We start from the raw sequence: 26,946 nt of genomic DNA on the forward strand, positions 1-26,946 counted from the left end.
GAATTTCACCAAGGAAGATATCTGGGCCTTGAGTCTTCTTTGTGGAAAAGTTTTTACTACGATGTCTATACCTTTAATAGATGTAAGGTTATTACAGTTATTTTTTTCTCTTGGGTGACTTTTGGTATCTGGTGACATTACATCTAACTTGAATTTGTGCCTAAAGGAATGATACTTCTCTTTCATTATGATATTCAAAATTGGTCTTCTCTTTTTTTTCTCTTGATCAGTCTGACCAGAAGTGTAGTATTAATTTCACTGATCTTTTCAAAAAACCAACTTTTGGGTTGATTGATTTTTTTCCTATCGTATTTTCTTTTTCATTTTATTAATTTCTGTTCTTATCTGCATTTGTTAATTTTTCTTATTTTGAGATTAATTTTATATTTGTTTTTCTAGTTTGTAGGCAAACACTTCTAACATTGATTTGAGACTATTCTTATTCTCTAATGTAAGCCTTTATTGCTTTAAATTTCCCTCTAAAAACTGCTTTAGCTACAATCTTAAACTATTATTTTTATTTTTGGTCTTCAAAGTATTTTCTATTTTTTCTTGGGTTCTCCTTTAACCAGAAGTTGCTTTTTCATGTGAGCATTTCCCAGAAATCTTTTTGTAATTGATTTCTAGAATAACGTTTTTGTGTTCAGACAATATACTTTGTATAAATTCAATCATTTTATAGTTATTGAGACTTGTTTTATGACCCAGAATATGGTTTATTTTGCAGAAAGTTTTGTGTACATTTGAAAAGAAGGTGTATTCTTCTGGTTTCGAAAGGAATGCACTGTAAATATCAATTTAGTAAGTGGGTTAATATTATTATCCAAGTCCTTTATATCCTATTGGTTTTCTTTGTACTTATTCTATCAATTAATGAGAAGTGTTGAAATTCCCAGCTACAATTGCAGGATTATTTCTGTTTGCATGGGATGTAATTTGCTTATTTTTCCTTGTAGTGTTGCAAGTTTTCACTTCACGTATTTTGAAGCTCTGTTATCAGGTATATACACATTTAAGATCATTTTATCTTTTGATAAACTGACACCTTTTCATTATATAATGTTTCACTTTACCCTTAGTAATACTTTGTTTTAAAATTGACATTGTCTCATATTAATATAGGTATTTTAATTTCTTTTTATTTGTATTTTCTAGGTTTATATTTTTCTATCATTACACATTAAATCTTGGTGTCTTTATATTTTAAGTGGGTTTCTTTTTTAAACAATATATAAACAATATATAGTTGGGTTTTGCTTTTTTAATTCAATCTGACTTTTTACTTTTAAGTAGAATATTCACACAGTCTAAATATCTATATTAGTATAATATCTACATTTAGTGTACTATCAATGATTACAATTACTTTCAATTTTTCCTGCTTGCTGTGTTTCTTTGTTTCTTTGTTAAAGTTAATCAAATATTTAAGATACCTTTTATGTTACAACTAGTTTTATAAAGTCTGTTGTATTTTTCTCCCAGCTTTAAGATATAATTAACAAAGTAAAATTTTATATATTTATGATCTACAATGTAATATTTTAATATTCATATGCATTTTGAAATGATTACCACAATCAAACATACCCATCACCTCATACTTAATTTTTAATGATCCAATTTTAGTTCTACTGTTGGTTTATTAGCTATTCCTCTTTGTTTAATTGTATAGTGGTTGCTCTGAGATTTACAATATACATCTTTAACCTGCACTTTGCTTTCAAATAGTAATCCATATTATATGCCGCATAAGAATTTTATAGCGCATACTTCTATTTATTTAATCCTTTCTTTATGTGATTGCTGTCATGCAAATGATTTCTGCCTATCACATATATCTCAAATACATGCTTTAAACTATAAATTATCTTTTAATTTTATTTTTAACTGTGGTAAAATACATATAACATAAAATGTGCCATCTTAGCCATCTTTTAAGTGTACAGTTCAGTAGAGTTAAGGGTATTCACACTGCTTTGCAACCAATCCCCAGAACTTTTCTCATTTTTCAAATGAAATTTCTATACTCATTAAACAGCAACTCCCCTTTCCATTCTCCTTGTGCCTCTTGACAACCACCAATCTACTTCCTATGAATTTGATTGTCCAAGGTACCTTATAGAAGTGAGGTCACACAGCATTTGTCTTTTTCTTACTGACCTAATTCACTTAGTACAATTTTCTCCCAGGTTCATTCATGGTGTAGCATGTCAGAAGTTTTTCCTTTTTTAAGGCTGAATAATCTTCCACTATAGGTATATACCTCATTTTGTTGATCCATTCATTTATCAGTGGATGCTTGGATTGCTTCTACCTTTTGGCTATTGTGAATAATGCTGCTATGAATATGGCTGTACAGAAATATGTTCAAGAACTTACTTTTAATTTGGGGAGTATATACCCAGAAGTAGACTTGCTGAATCATGTGGTAATTCTACATTTACAGTTTTGAGGAACTGATATACTGTGTTCCATAGAGGCTGCACTATTCTACACTTCTACCAACACTGCACAAAAGTTCCAACTTCTCCAAATCCTTGTCAATACTTGTTATTTTCTTTTATTTTGACAGTAGCCAATCTAATGGGTGTGAGGTACTATCTAATTGTGTTTTTAAATTTTTATTTTCTTAATAAATAGTGATATTAAACATTTTTCCATGGTTCATTGGCCATTTGTATACTTATTTAAAGAAACGTCTATTCAACTCCTTTGCCCATTTTTTTAAATTGGGTTGTGTAGTGTTTTGTTGATGTTGTTTTGAGTTTTAGGAGTTCTTTATATATACTGGATATTAACCCCTTATCAGAAACATGATTTGTAAATATTTTCTCCCATTCTAGGTGATGGCTTTTCAGTCAGTTGACTGTATCCTTTGAAACACAAACTTTTTTTTTATTCCAGTGTAGTCAAACTTACCTATTTTCGTTGTTGCTGTTATTGCTTGTGTTCTTGGTGTTATATCCAAGAAGTTATTGCTAAATCCATTATCTTGTAAAATATCCTTTAAAAACGTTTTCAATTGAAAAAGTGTTTTTGTGTTCCTCCACACTGTCATAATTTCGGGCTCATTTTATTTCTTTATGAGATCCAAATTTCCATCAGCTCTTTTCTTCTGCCTAAAGAACTTTCTGTAGCAATTTTTGTCATGCATGTTCCCAGGTGGTACATTTTATCAGCTTTTATTTCTTCTTATTTTTGAAAGGTATTTTCACTGGTTAAAGAATTTAGGGCCAACAGGTTTGATTGTTTTCTTTCAGTACATTATTGACACCTCTCCATTACTTCTCACATGCATAGTTTCTTTTAAAAAATAGCTTTATTGAAACTTAAAAAGCAGTACACACTTACACACTTAATGTATGCAATTTGATGAGTTTGGAAACCATGAAACCATCACCATCATTAATAAACATATCCATCACTTCCAGAAGTGTTAGGGGGTGTGTATGTGTGTGTGTGTGTGTAGAACTCTTAACATGGGATTTACCCTCTTAATAAATCTTTAAGTGCACAAGACAGTATTGTAAAGTATAGACACTATGTTGTACAGCTGATCTCTATAATTTAGTATGTGGATTTTCTGAAACCTTATACACATTGAATAACACCTCATTTTTCCCTTCTCCTTGTTGCTCTCAACCACCATTCTAGTTGCTGCTTCTATGTGTTTGACTATTTTAGATACCTCATATATTGTAAGTGGGATCACAGACATTTCTCTAAAGAAGACTTTCAAATAGCCAATGGGTGTACAAAAAGGTGCTCAGCATCACTATCAGGAAAATGCACATCAAAACAACGATGAAATATTATCTCATACCTGCTGGAATGCCTATTATCAAAAAACAAAAGATAAATGTTTGCAAGGATGTATAGAAACTGAAAGCCCTGTACACTGCTGGTGGAAATGAAAACTGGTGCAGCTGTTATGAAAAACAGAATAGCAGTTACTCAAAAAAGTGAATGTAGAGTTACCATATTAACTAGCAACCCCACTTCTACGTACATATCCAAAATTATTGAAATCAGGATGTCAAAGGAGTATCTGCCATGTGTAATAAACTCCCATGTTTATTGCATCACTATTCACAAAAGTAAGATATGGAAACAACCTAAATATCCATCAATGGATAAATGGATAAAGAAAATGTGGCATATACACTTTATGGAATATGATTTAGCATTAAAAGCAAAGGTAGCCCTGTTATATTTGACAGCATGGCTGAACCTGGAGTACATTATGCCAAGTAAAACAAGCTAGTCATATGCATTGTTTATGATAAGAAATCTGTGATAATTCTTGTATTTGCCCTCTGTAGATAACACATCTTTTTTCCTTTGGCTTATTTTTTCTTTATTGCTGGTCTTCAACCATTTGATTAAGATATACTTTGGGGTAGTTCTATTACTTTTATTTTGTCAGAGGTCATTGAGCTTCTTGAATCTGCGAGTTTATAGTTTTTGAAAATTTAGATATTTTTAGCCATTGGTTCTTCAAATATGTGTTCTGCCTCCCTCCTTTCTATTCCTTTCCCGAGACTTCAATTACATATATCTATGAGTAATTGACAGTACCCAGTTACTTGATGGTCTGTTTATTTATTTTGGTATTTTTATAGCCTCTCCATAATTTATTTTCAATATTTTCCATTGCTATGTCTTCAAGTTCACTAATATTTTATTATGCAATATTTAATTTGCTGTCAGTCCCAACCAGTGTATTTTTCATGTCATATGTTGTAGTTTTATCTCTAGAATTTTCTATTTTTTCTCCCATTACTCTCTTTCTTGTGCTCATGGCTTTCCTCTGCCACCTACAAAATTAAGATATATTTATAATACAGGCGTACCTCTGAGATATTGCAGCTTCAATTCAAGACCACTGCAATAAAGTGAATGTTGCAAGTCACATAATTTGATGGTTTCCCAGTTCATATAAAAGTTACCTTTACACCATACTGTCAGCTATTTTTATGCAATTATGCCAGAAAAAACATATCTTAATTTAAGAGTATCTATTGCTAAAAAATGCAGACGCAGAGATCCAAAGTGACCACATGCTCTTGGGAAAATGGAGCTGATACTAGCTCGATGCAGGGTTGCCTCAAACCTTCAATCTGTGAAAAATGCACTATCTGTGAAGTGCAGTAGAGCAAAGTGCAATAAACCAAGGTATGCCTGTAAATGTCTTGAAACTATGAAGACATTATAATAATTTTTTCAATGTCTTGGAGTGTTTTTCCTATTCCTTTTCAGGAAATTTCTCAGGCCTTATGTAGTTTTCAGTTTTCCATATTCATGTGCAGATTATAACTCAGCCAAAGACTTGGAAAGTCTTTCTGTACATCTCCAAAATTCTCTTTTTGCTTCCAGAGCTTTGCTCCTTTCACAAGGAACTCCCCCTGAAACTCCAATTTAAGTTATATTAGTCTTTTTTAGTTCTGCTCTGTATGTCTTAAACAATTTTCTACATTTTCCACCTTTTTTATTTGCAATTGAATTTGCATATTTTCTAATGTCTTGTATTACATTTCACAAATGTTGCCATAATATGTATTAAATTACCTGAAAATTTCTTAATACAGATATTCTTCTCTAGAATTCCGTTTGATTATTTTCTGTGGAAAACAAACAAAAAAACAAACAAACACACACAACTCTATTTTTCCTTCTATGTTTCCAGCTTTTTCTCTAATTCTTGAACATATTAAATGAAGTGATTTTAAAACCTTCCTCAGCCAACACCAATATCTGAATCACCTGTATATCTGTTACAATTGTTTGTTTTATCTCCTGATTTTCAGTCATGTAGCCCTTTCTTTTACAAGAATAAGTTTTGTTTCATTTTTTAATTGAATAACAAACAGTGTGTACAAATAATTGTAAAAGCTCTAGAACAGGGTCAGAAAATCTTATTTTGTGAATTCACCAGATAGTAAATACCTTAGGCTTTGTAGGCCACATAGTCCCTTTCTCATATTTTTCTTTGCTTTTTTTTTTCCTTTTTTAAACTAACTTTTAACATGTAAAGAATGTTTTAGCTTGAGTATTGTATAAAAGCAGGTCATGGCTCATTTGGCTCAAAGGCCATAGTTTTTCAAGCCTTGCTCTAGAGCAAGCTTGTCCAACCCATGGCCCAGGGGTCGCATGCAGCCCAGGACAGCTTTGAATGTGGCCCAGCACAAATCATAAACTTTCTTTAAATGTTATAAGATGTGTCTTGCAATTTTTTTTTAGCTCATCAGCTATCATTAGCTTTAGTGTATTTTATGTGTGGTCCAAGACAATTCTTCTTCCAATGTGGCCTAGGGAAGCCAAAAGATTGGACACCTCTGCCTAGAGAGTCTTATCTTCTATTATAGAGGATTTGCCCTTCCTTCTAGTTGGCAGTTATAGTTGTCCCTCAATATCCATGGATACCATGAATACCAATGTTCGTGGGTGCTCAAGTCCTTTATATAAAACGGTGTAGTCTTTGCATATAACCTATGTACATCCTTCTGTATACTTTAAATCACCTCTAGATTAGTTATAATACCTAATACAGTGCCTACACATTACTTCATTTGCATGGATTCAGTGTACTACTGAAGTTTTGCTTCAAATTTTCAAGTTTTGCTTTTTGGAACACTGTGGAGCTTCTTTTTCTGAATATTTTTGATCTGCAGATGGTTGAATTCACTAATGCAGAACCCATGTGTACTGAGGGCCATGTGCAGTGGTGGTTGGACACCTTAATATAAGCAGGGACTGTGCTGAGTTGAACCCCTATAAGGCTCTAGCTCTGCTTTAAGCATGACCCTCCAGCATTTTTCATCACAAATATAGCATAATCTGCTGATCCCTCCCTCTAGTGTGTCCCACACTCTAATCTTTGTCTTATCAGAATTCCAGAATTTCCACTTTGCTTTCCAGAAGCTTTGTGTTCAGATTTTTAGTCTTCCACCCATGCAGCTCCAGTGTTTGGAAAAATTGAGAAGGAAACTGACCGTGTGCATGAAGTCTCCCAAGCCCCTGCTGCCCCGACCCCGACCCTCTCCTACCACAGAAACACAAGGATTCTCACTAAGCTTTAACCTAGATTCTGTTTCTTGCCCATGCGCAGAATTGGCATATACCCCTGGGATAAGCACACAAAAGCCAGCTAACCTCTCTAGGTTTATTTCATTTTTGTCATCTTAGCCTTTCTACTTTTATTTTTCAGTACTTGTATAATGCTCCACTTCCTTCAGACAGATGATTTCTATATTTCACTCGGCTTTCTTAGTTTTTCTGAGGAGTGCTGCTCTTCCATGAGTTACCCTATCCCACTGAATGCAGACTTTTGAAAAAATGGTTTAATATTTTTTAAAAAATCATACACTTAACCTTGCACAATCTGACCTCAGCCTACATTCCAATCATGTCTCAACTACCTACATGCCTGAACTGTCCTCAGTGACCCAGTCCCAACTTGCTGAATGCTCCAAACACTCTCTCAAGGTTCTTGCTGGAATTCCTTCATTCTACCTCTCTGAACTTCTGCTTGTAGAAGTAAAATCTACTTAACTCTTATCCATAGTCATGTGCTCCTTGAAGTTAGGGCCCAAGTCTTCCTTGTATTTGGATCCCTCCAATGTCTCTTAGGTGAGGGCTTAACATATACCAAGAAGCCGATAAATATTTGATCTTCATTCAGTAGCCTTTATTTAGTATTTTTGGCAATCTTTGTCCTCTCTTTCTATGACTTCCTAATCTAACAATGCCCAGTTCCAGATAAGTATTTTATTAGTTAAGTTTTTTCTTAGTGACAGCATCAAATTCTGAGCTCACTGAACTTCAGGTCAGCCACATGGAACCAGATAAACAGAAAATCCTGTATCTATATGCTGAACAGGATAGTGAAATTGAAATCTTTATTTTTCATGTATTGTAAATTTAACATCTGAAAATAGTTTGGAATTTAACATTGAGATACATTGTTATTTAAAATGGCCATAGTAGCTCAAATGGCTGTTTCTTATCAGACAATAAAAATAGACTTTCTTTTCATTTTTATTTGTTCTTTTCTTTTATGAGTTTTTGTTATAGAGGCAGACAATATGTCTGTTGGTGGAAAGTTGGCCGTAAGACTTTTTCAAGATTTGACTTGGAGCATACCAGGCTCAAGGAAAGTTGTTTTATCCATACCATGACTTTGGCATTTTTTTTAAGGAACAAATTCATCTTGACACCCTTTTGTTAACTTAGAAGGAAAAAACCTTAAGGAAACAACATGTAATACTAACAACTATTGCTTCTTGAGAGTTTATCTGTTGACATCTTTATACTAAGCATTTGTCCACATTATATTTCATTTAAAATTCACAGCAATATCATTTACATACTATTATCACTGATATTTTATAACTCAGGCTGAGATTAAGTAGTTTTCCCAATAGCAAACCTCTAGCAAGTGTCAGGACAACAGTTTTACCAAAATTTATCTCAATCCCAAAGCCCGTACACATAATATTAAGGGTTATTAGCACTCTCCTAAGACTTGGAAAGTCAATAAAATTACTTCCTAGGGTAGGAGTCAGAGTCAAACTGAAATAATATAGTGTGAACATATGTGACATAAAGTTTTAAACTGGGTTGGTTAAACAGAATATAAATTAGTCTTGACTATAAAACTGATGTGAATGGCAGCGTTTTACACAGAAAAGTTAATGAATTAACAAAGTTAAAACATTTTCCTGCAAACATCTACACCAAAAAAATGCGTTATTAAAAAGTAATATGAGTTACAAATATAAGAAAAGCCTAAGATGTATATACTATTATGGTTCCGACACGCCGGAACAAGCCTGCCAAGACACCTGGGAAGGACTGCGGTCAGATGCCTATTTTCCTTGAAAGCTAAACTTACCTTATGGGAGCAAACTCGTAGGAGAAGGTTGGTCTCATGTGAATGCTTTTATTTTCTGAACGTAAAGGCAATTCAGAACATAGGGTGGGGTCTGTCACACAGATTTAACTCCTTGGCCACTTCCTCACCTCTTCCTGTTTGTTAGTAAAAATTTTAATAGCTATTAAACTATGTATGGCAGCAAACCAAAACATGAGAACTATGAAAACGGGGAAAGTATTATGGACCCTACTTCTTCTGGAAGCTGGCAGACCTTCTGTGCCAGGGCAGCTCTTGAGAATGCAGCACATGGCTGTTGCCAGGCTCTGGTAACAGTGGTGGCTCTCATGAGAAGATGAACCATTTGCCATTCTCAGAGGACATAAGGTCCACAGATGGAGGAATCAAGACCGTAGAGGGGAAACACCCAGCAGCTAGCATCACCCTACAGGTGGGGAGATAACCTTGCTCATAAATATTTGTGAGACACTGTACTGAGAAATAATTAGCAGGAACTTAGCAGCAGACTCTGGTATGCCAAACATAAAGCACAGTGTTAAAAATAATGATCATTTAATACAGCAGCACAATGGAATAAATATTTTAAAATATATAATATAAGCATATGCCATATGAAGTTATATGTATGTTTATGTAATAGAGTGTGTGTGTGGTATGATTGTGTCTGTGTATGTGTGAATACAAACATACATACATGCTGTCCTGTATACAGAAAGTAACATTTTGCCTCTCTGGAAATTGTTTTCTATATGGAATATTTTATGGGAGGGTATATATAGAAAACAGTGATTTATTCTCTATATGTATAATACCAAGCAAAAATTTTAACCATATCAAGTTAGTATAATAGCTATGTAATTCTTGACTGGATTGTCCTTTCTCCACCTTCTGCCTGACTGACTGGACTTTTTCTTCATGTAATAATGTGGCCTTCTCCACTCTATATACTAGGTCAAACCCCTTGATCCGCTGGTGTTCTGATTTTCTTTGTCATAGCAATGATTACACTTCCCTTATATGGCAAGATCTGTATCATATTATTCAACACATATAGAGTAATTATATATACGTCTATATCCTCAACCCCAGCAGTGTGTCAGGCACTCAATAAATACTTCATTTGAACTCTATGTTCTCTCAAATCAAAAGCTTCCCTTAGAGAAATATTCAACAATGACTTGTACATGAACCTGGCTATTGAGTCACCTTTCCAATCAGTATTTACTATGGGAACTTTATTGTTTATATAAAAATGTTTAAGTTTACATTAGATTTTGCTAACATACAAAGCTGATAGGAAACATTTGCAGGACTGAAGAGACCATTCCCTAGCCTCCAAAATCAAACCATACAGAAGGCCGCATATTTTGCATAAAGTGTATAAAACATTTCACAGTATAACTTTAAACACAAATTCTTTGAAACATTCTGCATATTCCAGTTTATCCTACTGATTAACCAAAAAGAAAACGATAAAAGTAAAATTTTGAAACAACTATGATACAACCATGATAGGTTTAGTGAGCTAAAACAATTATTATATGTTAATTATTAAATATTCATTGAAAATGAATTAAAGGCTGTTACAACATTTTATTTTAAACACATTTCAAATGATCATTAATGTGAGCTTTACAGATTTGAATTATTGTTTCAAAAATGATTTATCTTTTTCTCTGGATCATCTTTAATTATCTTTCATACTCGACTTTTAATCCTTAAGTTTTTTCTATCCTATAATTTCTCTAGCAAGTAATTACTTGGTAAAGCAATATTTACAAGTCCTAAAGAAGACATCAGTTTTTTAAGTTTAAGGAAAGTTTCTTTGTAATATAAATAACAATGACTTGTTTTGTACTTTTTTAAATAGTAAAAATACTGTTAAATAAACTTTTATTCATATAGCATCGTTGTTTCTGTTTTGTAAGAAAATCCTATGGTACACTTCTTGGTACTCATCTGTTCAATCTATTTCAGTGGGTCTGTCACTTAACTTTACTTCAGCCTTTGTCTTGAGCTTTGAAGTCCTGACAACTAGATACCAGTGTCATTATATTCATTATTTAGTTTCTCATTAAGATTCAGTCCTTCCTTTCTAGCAAATGTCTACCTGTCTAAACCTACTGGTGTAATTAGAGGCTTGAATAAGGAACAAATAGATAAATTAAATTTAGAAAGGATTTCCTTTGTATGTATCAGTCGAAATATCCCATTTCTCACAAATATGAAATACTTTGATGTATATGGGGCCCTAACTAGAGGGGCCAGTTTTCTCTTTTATATTTCCGAAACTAAATAATGTCTTTCATGCTAAGCAGGAAAAAACATAAAAGCTGAAACAGTAAATGTCTGAGATTTGGAACCTCATCTTTGATTGTCAAAGCAAGTCTTAAGTTTTTAATTGCATAGTTCAGCTTAGAATTTTTAAAATAATTTCTTCACTTCAAGCTTGCATGTAGCCATTTAGTTAACAACATCATTCTCTCTTCTCAGGAATATTTCTTTGATACTCCATGAGACACTATTATACCCATTGCATAAATTTGAGATAGTATTAAGTAGTATGGGAGAAAAAACTTTAGAGTCATGTAAATCTGAATTTCCACACTGGTTTCATCATTCTCTAGAAAGATGAACTTTGTGGCAAGTCACTGATATTTCTCAGTCTCAGTTTCCTTATTCATAAATCTGACTTAGCAATACTTACAATGTTTCAAGGTTTAAGGATAAATATGTACAGTATATATGTATACATATACATATATTTAATTAATGCTAATTATTATTGTGTCTATCTTCAAACATTGATTCAATCATTTTACTTTTCCATGCCTAGTCATTTCTCTGACTTTTTAAAATACTTGAAAACCAGAATCCTCTTATTTGTAATATTCAGGAATGAATAACAAAGTTATTTTCAATACAAAATATTATTAGCTCATTATTTTATGGAAAAAGTCATTCCATTTTAAAAATAATCACAAATTATTTATTGCATTCATGCATATTTTTTAAAACAATGGAACATATTATTGAAAGTCAGCATGGTTTAGGAGACAATGCATTGGACCAAGCATCAGAAGTCCTGGTTTCTTTCTGTGTGTGTGTGTGTGTGCATGTGTGTGTGCGTGTGTGTGTGTGTGTGTTTGTATGGGACAGGCTCTCACTGTTTCCCAGACTGGAGTGCAGTAACAGAATCCCGGCTCACTGCAACTTCCACCTCCCAGGCTCAAGTGATCGTCCCACTTCAGCCTCCCAAGTAGCTGGGACTACAGGCACCAGCCACCACACTCAGGCAATAGAGACAGGGTTTTGCCATGTTGCCCAAGCTGGTCTCAAACTCCTGAGCTCAGATCATCCACCTACCCTGGCCTCTCAAAGTGCTGAGATTACAGGTGTGAGCCACCATGCCTGGCCAGAAGTCCTAGTTTCCAGTACCACATTTTCACCATTTAATTCAATAAGTGATCTTGGACATTTAAAGAGGCTCAAAATCATCAGCTGTAATATGGAAATTCAATGAGAATTATCTTCAAGCTTGTTCTGAGCTTTAGCATCTATAGTTTATTTGGATGTGTATGTATGGATTTACTCAACATAAATCTCATTAATCATTTTTGTATCCCTAGCACCTAGAACACTGCCTGGTCTCTAGTGGTATTACATTTTTGGTTTTTTGTTTTGTTTTGTTTTGTTTTTTCAAAAAGAAGGAAAAAGCAAAAAGGCAGGGAAAAAGCATGACACGGAGAGATAGAGGGAGGTGAAGAAGAAAGGGAGAGAGGAAGTGGTATTTAGAAATGTGGCATAAAAGGCTATTGCCTATTTAGTAGAACTTTTACCCTGGGAAAACCATATCAAAGGAAAATGGGGTCGCCATTTGCTCTTTACAATTCAGCCCTTTTTCCTCACTTCTGGAACACTTTGCTCACATCAAGGCACGTCATTTCTAAGAGTTTCACAGCTGCTTGATCAAGGTATTGTCATCATTTCTCAGCAATAGCCAATTTTATTAGATTGCTAAAGGTTTTGCGTCTTTGTCTCTTTGGATTTTATTTCTTCTGTCCATTCTTTTTAAAGCATTATAATTTATAGCCAGGACCAATATTTATAAGAGATTTAAGAATTCTGTTGTCTCTTTTAGTAATACTTGTCTTTTTTAGTTTCGCTCTTGTCACCCAGGCTGGAGGGCAATGGCGTGATCTCCGCTCACTGCAACCTCTGCCTCCCAGTTTCAAGTGATTCTCTTGCCTCAGCCTACTGAGTAACTGGGATTACAGGCACCTGCCACCATGCCCAGCTAATTTTTTTTTTTTTTTTGTATTTTTAGTATTGATGGGGTTTCGCCATGTTGGCCAGGTGGGTTTCGCCATGTTGGCCAGGCTTGTCTCGAACTTCTGGTCTCAAGTGATCCGCTCGCCTCGGCCTCCCAAAGTGATGGAATTACAAGCGTGAGCCACCCCTCCAAGCCAAGACTTGTCTTTCAACAAGAACTAATGAGCACTCAGTTTGCAGAATAGGCAGTTTTTTACAGGAGTTTTCTTCAGAGGAAAATGGGTTCCTGGAGTACAAACTTCATAATATGCAGAGGATGGTATCATGAGAGTGGGCAACAGATGTTTACTGATTATGAAAAAAAAAGTGTTTCACTTCTCTAGCTTCTATTTTTTTCTAAAATGTAAATGATCTTAAATTGTTAGGTGTTCAAATGATAAATAAAAGTTAAGGTAGCATTTCCAAAGAAATATAGAAGCAATTTATATGGCATCCAGGCAATTTCTGTCTTAGACTATACTCAATCTTTTATTTCAATGCTAATACATCAAGCTTAAAATCTTTCACTTACTGTTGAAGGTAAAACAACACCATGGAGGGAGGTGAGTAAATTGTCATAAAACACATACTGAACTTTCAGAAAATATTGTCTATTATTTGTAAGAGAAAACTCATAGAGGATAAGAAAATGAACTTGCAAAATGATTCAAGAAATAATAGACAGCTGATACACAGAAAAATAAATGCAAAGTGGAGAGGGAAGAGATTTTATTAAAGATGAAGGAGGTCCATATATTCTTCCTTAATTACAGTTATAAGCTTTAGAGACATTCTTTCTTTGCTTTTTGGCAGTCATTTGTTAGACTTCAGACTGACTGGTCTATGTGAATTGATTGTATGTTCAAATTGTGAAAATTATTTTTGAAGTGGAAGATCCCCTGTGTTCATAAGCATTGATTATCTACTTTTGCAGGGAAAAGGGATGTTAAGAAAATGTATTTTCATGTTAAGGTAGCAGCTACTATGGTTAGTTATTTATGTATTTATTTATTTGGTTTTGGGGGGATTTTGAGACAGGGTCTCACTCGGTCTCTTAGGTCGGAGTGCAGTGGGGCAATCTCGGCTCACTGCAAACTCTGCCACCAGGTTCAAGCGATTCTCCTGACTCAGCCACCCGAATACCTCAGGTTACAGGCACATGCCCCCCTACTTGGCTCATTTTTGTGTGTTTTTTTGTTTGTTTGTTTGTTTTTGTAGAGATGGGGTCTCGCTATGTTGCCCAGGCTGCTCACAAACTCCTGAGCTCAAAGCAATCAGCCCACCTCAGCCTCCCAAAGTGCTGGGATTACAGGCGTGAGCCACCACGCCTGGCAATGTATTTATTTTCATTTTGCTTTCATAGATTATTTGGGGAGAAAAAGATTATTATTCACTGAAGGAAAATTTTGGTGACATGAATGGGTATTCAGGTGAGCTTTGTCAGATTACATTTTAAAGCTAGTATTACAATCATTTTAATGGAAGTATGTACTTATCTGATACTACCCTAATTGTAAGTCTTTCTTGGTGCCTATATCGAGTCATTTATTCAACAAATAATTTTTAAGAACCTATTATGTGGCAGCCGTTAGTTTAAGCACTGAAGATGGAGCAGTTAAAAAAAAAAGGCAAAATTCCCTCCATTTCACAGCTGATTTTCAAGTGGGAGAATGAATGAATAGAATTTCATAAATTCTATAAAGAAAGAATAATGAATGGAAGGGCATAGGAACTGCAGAGATGGGTGGAAGATGGCAGTTTTAAAGAGCATAACCCAGGAAGGTCACTGAAACATCTGAGTAAAGAGCTGAAAGTCTTAAAGAAGTAAGTATGGACACCTGGGGAAAGTATGGTTCTACCATACAGAACAGCAAGTGCTAAGGCCTGAAGGCAGGATTATGTCTCAGGTGTCAGAGAAAAGACCTATGGGCCATGTTAAGGGTTTGGCTTTTACCCAGAGTGACAAGGGAAGGTGTGAAAGATTTGGAGCAGAGAAGAAACATAACCAGTTTTAGGGTTTTATAGGATACTTGACTGTGCTGTTGAAAATAGACTATTGGCGTATAGTATAGTTCGACGTTGGGTAATATGATGCCTCTGGCTTTTTTCTTTTTGCTTAGGATTGCTTCGGCTATTTGGGCTTTTGTTTTTGATTGCGTATGAATTTTAGAATAGTTTGTTTCTATTTCTTTGAAAAATGACGTTAGTAGTTTTATAGAAATAGCATTGAATCTGTAGATTGCTTTGGGCAGTGTGGCCATTTCAATAATGTTGATTCTTCCAATCCATGAGCATGGAATGTTTATTCATTTGTCTGCGTCATCTATAATTTCTTTCAGCAATATTTTATAGTTCTTCTAGAGATCTTTCACCTCCTCAGTTAGATGTATTCCTAGGTATTTTATTTGTGTGTGTAGCTATTGTAAATGGGATTGCATTCTTGATTTAGCTCTCAGCTTGAATTTTTTTTGGTGTATAGAAATGCTGCAGATTTTTGTACATTGATACTGTGTCCTGAAACTTCACTGAAGCTTATCAGTTCAAGGACGCTTTTCAGTCTTTAGGGTTTTCTAATTTAGAATCATATTGTCAATGAGGAGAGATAGTTGGATTTTTCCTTTTCCTATTTGTATGCCTTTTATTTCTTTCTCTTGCCTGCTTGCTCTGGATGGGACTTCCAGTACTATTAGGTTGGTGCAAAAGTAATTGCGGTTTTTGCCTTTAACGGCAAAAACTGGCCGGGAGTGGTGGCTCACGCCTGTAATCCCAGCACTTTGGGAGGCCGAGGTGGGCAGAACACGAGGTCAGGAGATCAAGACCATCCTGGCTAACATGGTGAAACCCTGTCTCTACTAAAATTACAAAAAATTAGCAAGGGCATGGTGGCGGGCGCCTGCAGTCCCAGCTACTTGGGAGGCTGAGGCAGGAGAATGGCATGAACCCTGGAGGTTGGAGCTTGCAGTGAGCCGAGATCGCGCCACTGCACTCCAGCCTGAGCGACACAGTGAGACTCCGTCTCAAAAAAAAAAAAAAAAAGGAATGGCAAAAATCACAATGACTTTTGCACCAACAATATATTGAATAGGAGTGGTAACAGTAGGAATCCTTGTCTTGTTCCAGTTCTCAAGGGGACTGCCTCCAGCTTTTGCCTATTCAGTATTATGTTGGCTGTGGGTTTGTCATACATGGCTCTGATTATTTTGAGGTATTTCTTTTCAATGCATAGTTTCCTGAGGGTTTTTATCATGAAAGGATGTTGGATTTTATTGAATGCTTTTCCCACATCTATTGAGATAAACGTACAGTTTTTGTTTCTAATTCTTTTTTGTGATGAATCACACGTATTGATTTGCATATGTTGAACCAAACTTGCATCCAAGAAATGAAGCCTACGTGATTGTAGTGAATTAAGTTTTTGATGTGCTGCTGGATTTGGTTTACTAATATTTTGTTGGGGAATGTTGGCATGTGTTTTTCTTTTACATTGTGTGTTTACCATATTTTGGTATCAGAGTGATACTGGCTTCAAAAAATGAGTTAGGGAGGAATCCCCCCGCTCAATTTTTTAGAACAGTTCAAGTAGAATTGGTACCAGCTCTTCTTTGTACGTCTGGTAGAATTCGGCTGTGAATTCCTTTGATTGGGGCCTTTTATTGGTTGGTGGGTTTTATTTTATTATTACTGATTCAGTTTTAGAACTTAAGATTGATCTGTTCAGGGTTTCAATTTCTTCCTGACTCAGTCATGGAGGCTGTATGTTTCCAGGGATTTATCCATTTCCTCTCAACTTCCTAGTTTATGTGCATAGAGGCATTCATAGTACTCTCTGAGGATCTTTTTTATTTCTAGTGGATCAGTTGTAATGTCACCTTTGCCGTCTCTGATTGTACGTCTTTGGATTTTCTCTTTTTTGCTCTGTTAATCTAGCTAGTGGTCTATCTATGTTGCTTATCCTTCTAAAAACCAACTTTTGGTTTTGTTGATTCTTCATAGGATTTTTGAGTCTCAATTTCATTCCATTCTGCTCTGATTTGGGTTATATCTTTTCTTCTGCTAGCTTTGGGATTAGTTTGCTCTTTTTTTGGTTTTCATTTTTGTTTTTTGTTTTTTTGGGTTTATTTTTTGTTATTGTTGTTTTTCCACTAGTTGTGATGTTAGATTTTTAATTTGAGATCTGACTTGTAAAAGTGGGCATTTATCCAAACATAAAATAAAATAAAATAAAACAGACTGTTGGTGTCCAAAAAAAAGAGGCCAGTTAGGAGACTATTGCAATAATCCAGGCAAGATATGATGGAAGCTTGGGCAAAAGTTGTAGCATTGAAAATAAATGGCGAAAAGTGGTATTTAGCTATTGTGTTGTTTGCTATAATGGTGATGTTGGTTAATTTGACCAATTTCTGAAGGAAAGATGTGGGGTAAAAAAGGAAAAGTTATTTCACAAAATATTCTAAGAATTGACCAGATAATGAGAAATTTTAGAATAAATTCTCAGAGAAGACAAAAATCCCAGAGAGATAAAACAGGATGCTTAAATTGCACTGTCCTGGAGAAAACATGAGGATACTGCCAGACTAACTGATACTGTGATGCACCTTCAGGGACAGAAAGCAAACACTAATGCCAGAGCCACCAAAGGGCCAGAATCTAATGGGATAACATACATAATAAGGTAGAACTCAGAAGAAAAGGAGCCTTAGTATTGTAAAGATGGGCATGAAGTATATTCAATTCCTCTCATCCCTAGGAGATTAAGCAAAGCAAAGAGATGGAAGGAAGGAAGGTGGAAACATCTCAGTCTCATTTGAAAGGTTGAAAAACAAAAATATATTTTTATTAAATGGATTAACTCAGGATTCTGTTTACTGTATGAATATTAGTTTATGCTTTGGAGTACTAGAATAAAATATCTTTCTCTAAGTTAGAATTCCAATGGAACGTTTCCCTATAAGAAAGAATAATTTATGGTGAGAAATGTAGCCATTCCAATGGGTGCAATTTTTTATTTAACCTTGATTTATTTAAAGTTTTAACAAATCATGTTTAAGGTTGCATTGAGAAAATATTTTATAATTTCTAAAATATTAGATGTAAAAATTTTGCAAGTTTTGAGACAACAATATGTAACAAATTTCTGATCTGAGTATACAATGTTCCATATAATTATTATTTTTAAATGAGGTAATTTATTAAAGAAATAATGTAAGATTTGCTTTAAAGTCAACTTTTTAAATTTATGCAAGGGGTAATATTTAAATTTCTAAATAAAATAACTATATATAACTTGGATTGCTTAATACTGTTAAAACTTCAGAGAGAAACCAGAGATCTTCATTCCTTCCAATGGAAAGGAATTGAAATACAAGGGCAGGCACAGTGTCTCATGCCTATAATCCCAGCACTTTGGGAGGTAAAGGCAGGAGAATCACTTGAGGCTGGGATTTTGAGACCAGCCTGGGCAACACAGCAAGACCCTCATGTCTGCAAAAAATAAAAATTAAAAAACTTAGTTGGGCCTGTAGTCTGAGTTACTCAGGAAGCAGAGAAGCAGAGGTGAGAGGATTACCTGAATCCAGGAGTTCGAGGCTACAGTCAGCAGTGATTGCACCACTGTACTCCAGCCTGGGTGGCAGAGTAAAACTGCCTCTAAAAAATTTTTTAAGATGAAAAATAGAAAAGGAATACATATTACATGATTACTTTCATTAAGAAATTGTCTTCTGTTTGTAAAATAGTCAGATTAATTAAAAACTATTCTCACAATAAAGTGTTTTCAGTTTCTGAGAATTCAAGTGCTATTTGTTATTATTTATCTAAGATGAATAAAATAAGAGATCTTTAATTACTGGTCCAGAAGTCAGAAAGTATTTAAATATAGATCCTTTAACTTACAGTTAAACTAAAGCTATTCAGGAGTTAACAGAAATTAGCACACAAGAAGGTGTAATTGGCTTTGATGTATGATTTCCTTTGAATTTCTTAAAAATATTCAAGGGATATCTTAGCATGTCAGAGAGCTCTTAATAAATGATTCTTGTTTCCATCAATTGTGGTACCTTACATGAGAAAGCATAGAAGGCTAGAAGTAGTAGAATCATACACTTATATCCACTTAACCATGTATTTTCTTTTTTTTTATTATTATACTTTAAGTTTTAGGGTACATGTGCACAGTGTGCAGGTTAGTTACATATGCATACATGTGCCATGCTGGTGCGCTGCACCCACTAACTCGTCATCTAGCATTAGGTATACCTCCCAATGCTATCCCTCCCCCCTCCCTCTACCCACCACAGTCCCCAGAGTGTGATATTCCCCTTCCTGTGTCCATGTGATCTCATTGTTCAATTCCCACCTGTGAGTGAGAATATGCGGTGTTTGGTTTTTTGTTCTTGCGATAGTTTACTGAGAATGATGCTTTCCAATTTCATCCATGTCCCTACAAAGGACATGAACTCATCCTTTTTTATGGCTGCATAGTATTGCATAGTGTATATGTGCCACATTTTCTTAATCCGGTCTATCATTGTTGGGCATTTGGGTTGGTTCCAAGTCTTTGCTATTGTGAATAATGCCGCAATAAACATACATGTGCATGTGTCTTTATAGCAGCATGATTTAGAGTTCTTTGGGTATATACCCAGTAATGGGATGGCTGGGTCAAATGGTATTTCTAGTTCTAGATCCCTGAGGAATCGCCACACTGACTTCCACAATGGTTGAACTAGTTTACAGTCCCACCAACAGTGTAAAAGTGTTCCTATTTCTCCACATGCTCTCCAGCACCTATTGTTTCCTGACTTTTTAATGATTGCCATTCCAACTGGTGTGAGATGGTATCTCATTGTGGTTTTGATTTGCATTTCTCTGATGGCCACTGATGAGCATTTTTTCATGTGTTTTTTGGCTGCATAAATGTCTTCTTTTGAGAAGTGTCTGTTCATGTCCTTCACCCACTTTTTGATGGGGTTGTTTGTTTTTTTCTTGTAAATCTGTTTCAGTTCATTGTAGATTCTGGATATTAGCCCTTTGTCAGATGAGTAGGTTGTGAACATTTTCTCCCATTTTGTAGGTTGCCTGTTCACTCTGATGGTAGTTTCTTTTGCTGTGCAGAAGCTCTTTAGTTTAATTAGATCCCGTTTGTCAATTTTGTCATTTGTTGCCATTGCTTTTGGTGTTTTAGACATGAAGTCCTTGCCCATGCCTATGTCCTGAATGGTAATGCCTAGGTTTTCTTCTAGGGTTTTTTATGGTTTTAGGTCTAACATTTAAGTCTTTAATCCATCTTGAATTGATTTTGTATAAGGTGTAAGGAAGGGATCCAGTTTCAGCTTTCTACATATGGCTAGCCAGTTTTCCCAGCACCATTTATTAAATAGGGAATCCTTTCCCCATTGCTTGCTTTTCTCAGGTTTGTCAAAGATCAGATAGTTGTAGATATGCGGCATTATTTCTGAGGGCTCTGTTCTGTTCCATTGATCTATATCTCTGTTTTGGTACCAGTACCATGCTGTTTTGGTTACTGTAGCCTTGTAGTATAGATTGAAGTCAGGTAGTGTGATGCCTCCAGCTTTGTTCTTTTTGCTTAGGATTGCCTTGGCGATGCGGGCTCTTTTTCGGTTCCATATGAACATTATAGTAGTTTTTTCCAATTCTGTGAAGAAAGTCATTGGTAGCTTGATGGGGATGGCATTGAATCTGTAAATTACCTTGGGCAGTATGGCCATTTTCATGATATTGATTCTTCCTACCCATGGCCATGGAATGTTCTTCCATTTGTTTGTATCCTCTTTTATTTCCTTGAGCAGTGGTTTGTAGTTCTCCTTGAAGAGATCCTTCACATCCCTTGTAAGTTGGATTCCTAGGTATTTTATTCTCTTTGAAGCAATTGTGAATGGCAGTTCACTCATGATTTGGCTCTCTGTCTGTTGTTGGTGTATAAGAATGCTTGTGATTTTTGTGCATTGATTTTGTATCCTGAGACTTTGCTGAAGTTGCTTGTCAGCTTAAGGAGATTTTGGGCTGAGACAATGTGGTTTTCTAGATATACAATCATGTCGTCTGCAAACAGGGACAATTTGACTTCCTCTTTTCCTAATTGAATACCCTTTATTTCCTTCTCCTGCCTAATTGCCCTGGCCAGAACTTCCAACACTATGTTGAATAGGAGTGGTGAGAGAGGGCATCCCTGTCTTGTGCCAGTTTTCAAAGGGAATGCTTCCAGTTTTTGCCCATTCAGTATGATATTGGCTGTGGGTTTGTCATAGATAGATCTTATTATTTTGAAATACATCCCATCAATACCTAATTTATTGAGAGTTTTTAGCATGAATTGTTGTTGAATTTTGTCAAAGGCCTTTTCTGCATCTATTGAGATAATAATGTGGTTTTTGTCTTTGGTTCTGTTTATATGCTGGATTACATTTATTGATTTGCGTATATTGAACCAGCCTTGCATCCTAGGGATGAAGCCCACTTGATCATGGTGGATAAGTTTTTTGATGTGCTGCTGGATTCGTTTTGCCAGTATTTTATTGAGGATTTTTGCATCAATGTTCATCAAGGATATTGGTCTAAAATTCTCTTTTTTGGTTGTGTCTCTGCCCGGCTTTGGTATCAGGATGATGCTGGCCTCATAAAATGAGTTAGGGAGGATTCCCTCTTTTTCTATTGATTGGAATAGTTTCAGAAGGAATGGTACCAGTTCCTCCTTGTACCTCTGGTAGAATTCGGCTGTGAATCCATCTGGTCCTGGAGTCTTTTTGGTTGGTAAGCTATTGATTATTGCCACAATTTCAGATCCTGTTATTGGTCTATTCAGAGATTCAACTTCTTCCTGGTTTAGTCTTGGGAGAGTGTATGTGTTGAGGAATTTATCCATTTCTGCTAGATTTTCTAGTTTATTTGCGTAGAGGTGTTTGTAGTATTCTCTGATGGTAGTTTGTATTTCTGTGGGATCGGTGGTGATATCCCCTTTATCATTTTTTATTGTGTCTATTTGATTCTTCTCTCTTTTTTTCTTTATTAGTCTTGCTAGCGGTCTATCACTTTTGTTGATCCTTTCAAAAAACCAGCTCCTGGATTCATTAATTTTTTGAAGGGTTTTTTTGTGTCTCTATTTCCTTCAGTTCTGCTCTGATTTTAGTTATTTCTTGCCTTCTGCTAGCTTTTGAATGTGTTTGCTCTTGCTTTTCTAGTTCTTTTAATTGTGATGGTAGGGTGTCAATTTTGGATCTTTCCTGCTTTCTCTTGTGGGCATTTAGTGCTATAAATTTCCCTCTACACACTGCTTTGAATGTGTCCCAGAGATTCTGGTATGTTGTGTCTTTGGTCTCGTTGGTTTCAAAGAACATCTTTATTTCTGCCTTCATTTCGTTATGTACCCAGTAGTCATTCAGGAGCAGGTTGTTCAGTTTCCATGTAGTTGAGCGGTTTTGAGTGAGTTTCTTAATCCTGAGTTCTAGTTTGATTGCACTGTGGTCTGAGAGAGAGTTTGTTATAATCTCTGTTCTTTTACATTTGCTGAGGAGAGCTTTACTTCCAAGTATGTGGTCAATTTTGGAATAGGTGTGGTGTGGTGCTGAAAAAAATGTATATTCTGTTGATTTGGGGTGGAGAGTTCTGTAGATGTCTATTAGGTCTGCTTGGTGCAGAGCTGAGTTCAGTTCCTGGGTATCCTTGTTGACTTTCTGTCTCGTTGATCTGTCTAATGTTGACAGTGGGGTGTTAAAGTCTCCCATTATTAATATGTGTGAGTCTAAGTCTCTTTGTAGGTCACTCAGGACTTGCTTTATGAATCTGGGTGCTCCTGTATTGGGTGCATATATATTTAGGATAGTTAGCTCTTGTTGTTGAATTGATCCCTTTACCATTATGTAATGGCCTTCTTTGTCTCTTTTGATCTTTGTTGGTTTAAAGTCTGTTTTATCAGAGACTAGGATTGCAACCCCTGCCTTTTTTGTTTTCCATTTGCTTGGTAGATCTTCCTCCATCCTTTTATTTTGAGCCTATGTGTGTCTCTGCATGTGAGATGGGTTTCCTGAATACAGCACACTGAAGGGTCTTGACTCTTTATCCAATTTGCCAGTCTGTGTCTTTTAATTGGAACATTTAGCCCATTTACATTTAAAGTTAATATTGTTATGTGTGAATTTGATCCTGTCATTATGATGTTAGCTGGTTATTTTGCTCGTTAGTTGATGCAGTTTCTTCCTAGTCTCGATGGTCTTTACATTTTGGCATGATTTTGCAGCAGCTGGTACCGGTTGTTCCTTTCCATGTTTAGCACTTCCTTCAGGAGCTCTTTTAGGGCTGGCCTGGTGGTGACAAAATCTCTCAGCATTTGCTTGTCTGTAAAGTATTTTATTTCTCCTGCACTTATGAAGCTTAGTTTGGCTGGATATGAAATTCTGGGTTGAAAATTCTTTTCTTTAAGAATGTTGGATATTGGCCCCCACTCTCTTCTGGCTTGTAGGGTTTCTGCTGAGAGATCCGCTGTTAGTCTGATGGGCTTCCCTTTGAGGGTAACCCAACCTTTCTCTCTGGCTGCCCTTCACATTTTTTCCTTCATTTCGACTTTGGTGAATCTGACAATTATGTGTCTTGGAGTTGCTCTTCTCAAGGAGTATCTTTGTGGCGTTCTCTGTATTTCCTGAATCTGAACGTTGGCCTGCCTTGCTAGATTGGGGAAGTTCTCCTGGATAATATCCTGCAGAGTGTTTTCCAACTTGGTTCCATTCTCCTCATCACTTTCAGGTACACCAATCAGACGTAGATTTGGTCTTTTCACATAGTCCCATATTTCTTGGAGGCTTTGCTCATTTCTTTTTATTGTTTTTTCTCTAAACTTCCCTTCTCGCTTCATTTCATTCATTTCATCTTCCATTGCTGATACCCTTTCTCCCAGTTGATCGCATCAGCTCCTGAGGCTTCTGCATTCTTCACGTAGTTCTCAAGCCTTGGTTTTCAGCTCCATCAGCTCCTTTAAGCACTTCTCTGTATTGGTTATTCTAGTTATACATTCTTCTAAATTTTTTTCAAAGTTTTCAACTTCTTTGCCTTTGGTCTGAATGTCCTCCTGTAGCTCAGAGTAATTTGATCGTCTGAAGCCTTCTTCTGTCAGCTGGCCAAAGTCATTCTCCATCCAGCTTTGTTCCGTTGCTGGTGAGGAACTGCGTTCCTTTGGAGGAGGAGAGGCGCTCTGCGTTTTAGAGTTTCCAGTTTTTCTGTTCTGTTTTTTCCCCATCTTTGTGGTTTTATCTACTTTTGGTCTTTGATGATGGTGATGTACACATGGGTTTTTGGTGTGGATGTCCTTTCTGTTTGTTAGTTTTCCTTCTAACAGACAGGACCCTCAGCTGCAGGTCTGTTGGAATACCCTGCCGTGTGAGGTGTCAGTGTACCCCTGCTGGGGGATGCCTCCCAGTTAGGCTGCTCGGAGGTCAGGGGTCAGGGACCCACTTGAGGAGGCAGTCTGCCCGTTCTCAGATCTCCAGCTGCGTGCTGGGAGAACCACTGCTCTCTTCAAAGCTGTCAGACAGGGACATTTAAGTCTGCAGAGGTTACTGCTGTCTTTTTGTTTGTCTGTGCCCTGCCCCACAGGTGGAGCCTACAGAGGCAGGCAGGCCTCCTTGAGCTGTGGTGGGCTCCACCCAGTTCGAGCTTCCCGGCTGCTTTGTTTACCTAAGCAAGCCTGGGCAATGGCGGGTGCCCCTCACCCTGCCTCGCTGCCGCCTTGCAGTTTGATCTCAGACTGCTATGCTAGCAATCAGCGAGACTCCATGGGCGTAGGACCCTCCGAGCCAGGTGCGGGATATAATCTCGTGGTGTGCCGTTTTTTAAGCCGGTCGGAAAAGCGCAGTATTTGGGTGGCAGTGACCCGATTTTCCAGGTGCGTCTGTCACCCCTTTCTTTGACTCGGAAAGGGAACTCCCTGACCCCTTGCGCTTCCCAAGTGAGGCAATGCCTCGCCCTGCTTCGGCTCGCGCACGGTGCGTGCACCCACTGACCTGCGCCCACTGTCTGGCACTCCCTAGTGAGATGAACCCGGTACCTCAGATGGAAATGCAGAAATCACCCTTCTTCTGCGTCGCTCACGCTGGGAGCTGTAGACCAGAGCTGTTCCTATTCGGCCATCTTGGCTCCTCCCCACCATGTATTTTCATGAATTAAATTTAATTACATAAAAGATGATAAGTTTGTAAGCCATTGGTCATATGAAAATATTTCAGTGGCCACTATTAATTTCTGGCAACAGCTATCTTAAAATATTTCCTTTGGAAAGAATAGGAAGTATAGTTGAGCAAAATCATGGATGTTTAAAAGTATCAAAAATTATAAATTATGATGAAAAGTTCAGAAATTTTCATCTGGGACTTGGTCTGCAGCATTTTATGTATGCTCCTTTCCCTGCACCATCCCCTAAAGCAGGAAGTTTGTCAGTAATTTTTCATTATCTTTTATCCTAGCCACCTCTTAGGCGCTCTTCAGGACTCCACTTGAGCCTCACATTCTCCATTCCCTGCATTTCTGACTAGGTGACATTTCCACATGTTTCCACACCACTGCCACTGACCCACTTAAAGTCACTTAATCTCTCTCCTGGACAGCTGTGTGACACTTCACCAAGGTCTTGGCTTCTAACTCAGTTTTAGTACAACCTATTCTCCACATTACAGCCAGGATGATCTTTCAAAAATGCCAATATGAACATATCAAGCCCCAGATTTGAAACCTCAGTACACTTGCATATCTTCTAGGATAAAGTTCAAAAATCTTAATTTGGCCATAACATTCTACAATCACAGGGCCAATGGCTTTTCCAGCCTCTCCATCTGCCATTCCTTGTCCGTTGTGCCCCAGGCATACTGGCCTTCCTCAATTCCCCCAAATCCCTAGCACATGCTCCTTGCTTTCTCAACTTCAAACACATTTTCCTTTCTGCAAACTCTTCCCTATACTTTATCCCAGATAACTCTTATTCATCTTTCATGTTTAGCTTATACTTCACATTTTCTCAGAAAAGCATTCACTATGCCCCAAGATAGATCACATTTTCATAGCACTCTGAATTCTCATGAATCTAAATACAATTTCATTCTCTGTCTTCCCTACTAGAATGTAACCTCCAGGAGGTGAGGAACTCTGCCATTTTTCCCTGTACCTGGCATGTAATTAGCACTCAACAAATGTTTGGTAAATAAATGGACAAATTAATGACCTGATAATAGTGGAATAGTTACCCTGCTACCACAATCCTGTCAACTTAGTACACCAGCAGTGTACTACTTAGGATGATGTCAGCTTCATCCTCAGGTAAGCTACATTCTGCCTTAAGAGATGGTTGTCACAGTTCCAGCATCACATGTAGAGAGGACAATGTCCAGAGGAAGAAAAGCAACTATTAGGGTATCACTTTTCCAATAGCAAAGACAACTTTTTCTAAAACTCATTATTAGAGATTTTTTCCGTGTCTCCTTGGCTACTCTACCTAATTTCAAATCTGAATAACCATAGTTCATCAGTTAATTGTTCTTTCAAGTAGCAATGTTGTTCCATGAAAAAGCAATTAGCTCAGCTCACAACTGATACAATCATATAAGTGCATTGCCTCAAGACAGTCATCACACTTCAGCAGCCAGCAGCCAGGCAAAATGCTTTATGCTTACTTCCCATTATGTCACAAGGAATATCAAAATGTTGTGCGCATGAGGGTCAAGATTTAATAAAATCCATAATTTCTA

General features: G+C 36.5%; 1 protein-coding gene across 3 annotated transcripts in view, besides 1 other annotated feature; it reads left to right on the forward strand.

The window, feature by feature from the left end:
- The window catches only part of XIRP2 (xin actin binding repeat containing 2), a 371,274-nt gene that overhangs the window by 174,135 nt on the left and 170,193 nt on the right, over window positions 1–26,946 (forward strand). The gene's annotated exons all lie outside the window — the stretch shown is intronic.
- Window positions 24,502–25,002: an enhancer, noted in NCBI's record as "H3K4me1 hESC enhancer chr2:167943626-167944126 (GRCh37/hg19 assembly coordinates)". NCBI's record gives its function as "activates a minimal SCP1, AML or CMV promoter by ChIP-STARR-seq in naive H9 embryonic stem cells {active_cell/tissue: H9 hESC(naive)}" and the evidence as "EXISTENCE:reporter gene assay evidence [ECO:0000049][PMID:30033119]".

The sequence above is a fragment of the Homo sapiens genome, chromosome 2 (assembly GCF_000001405.40).
Source record: "Homo sapiens chromosome 2, GRCh38.p14 Primary Assembly".
Classification (NCBI taxonomy): Eukaryota; Metazoa; Chordata; class Mammalia; order Primates; family Hominidae; genus Homo; species Homo sapiens.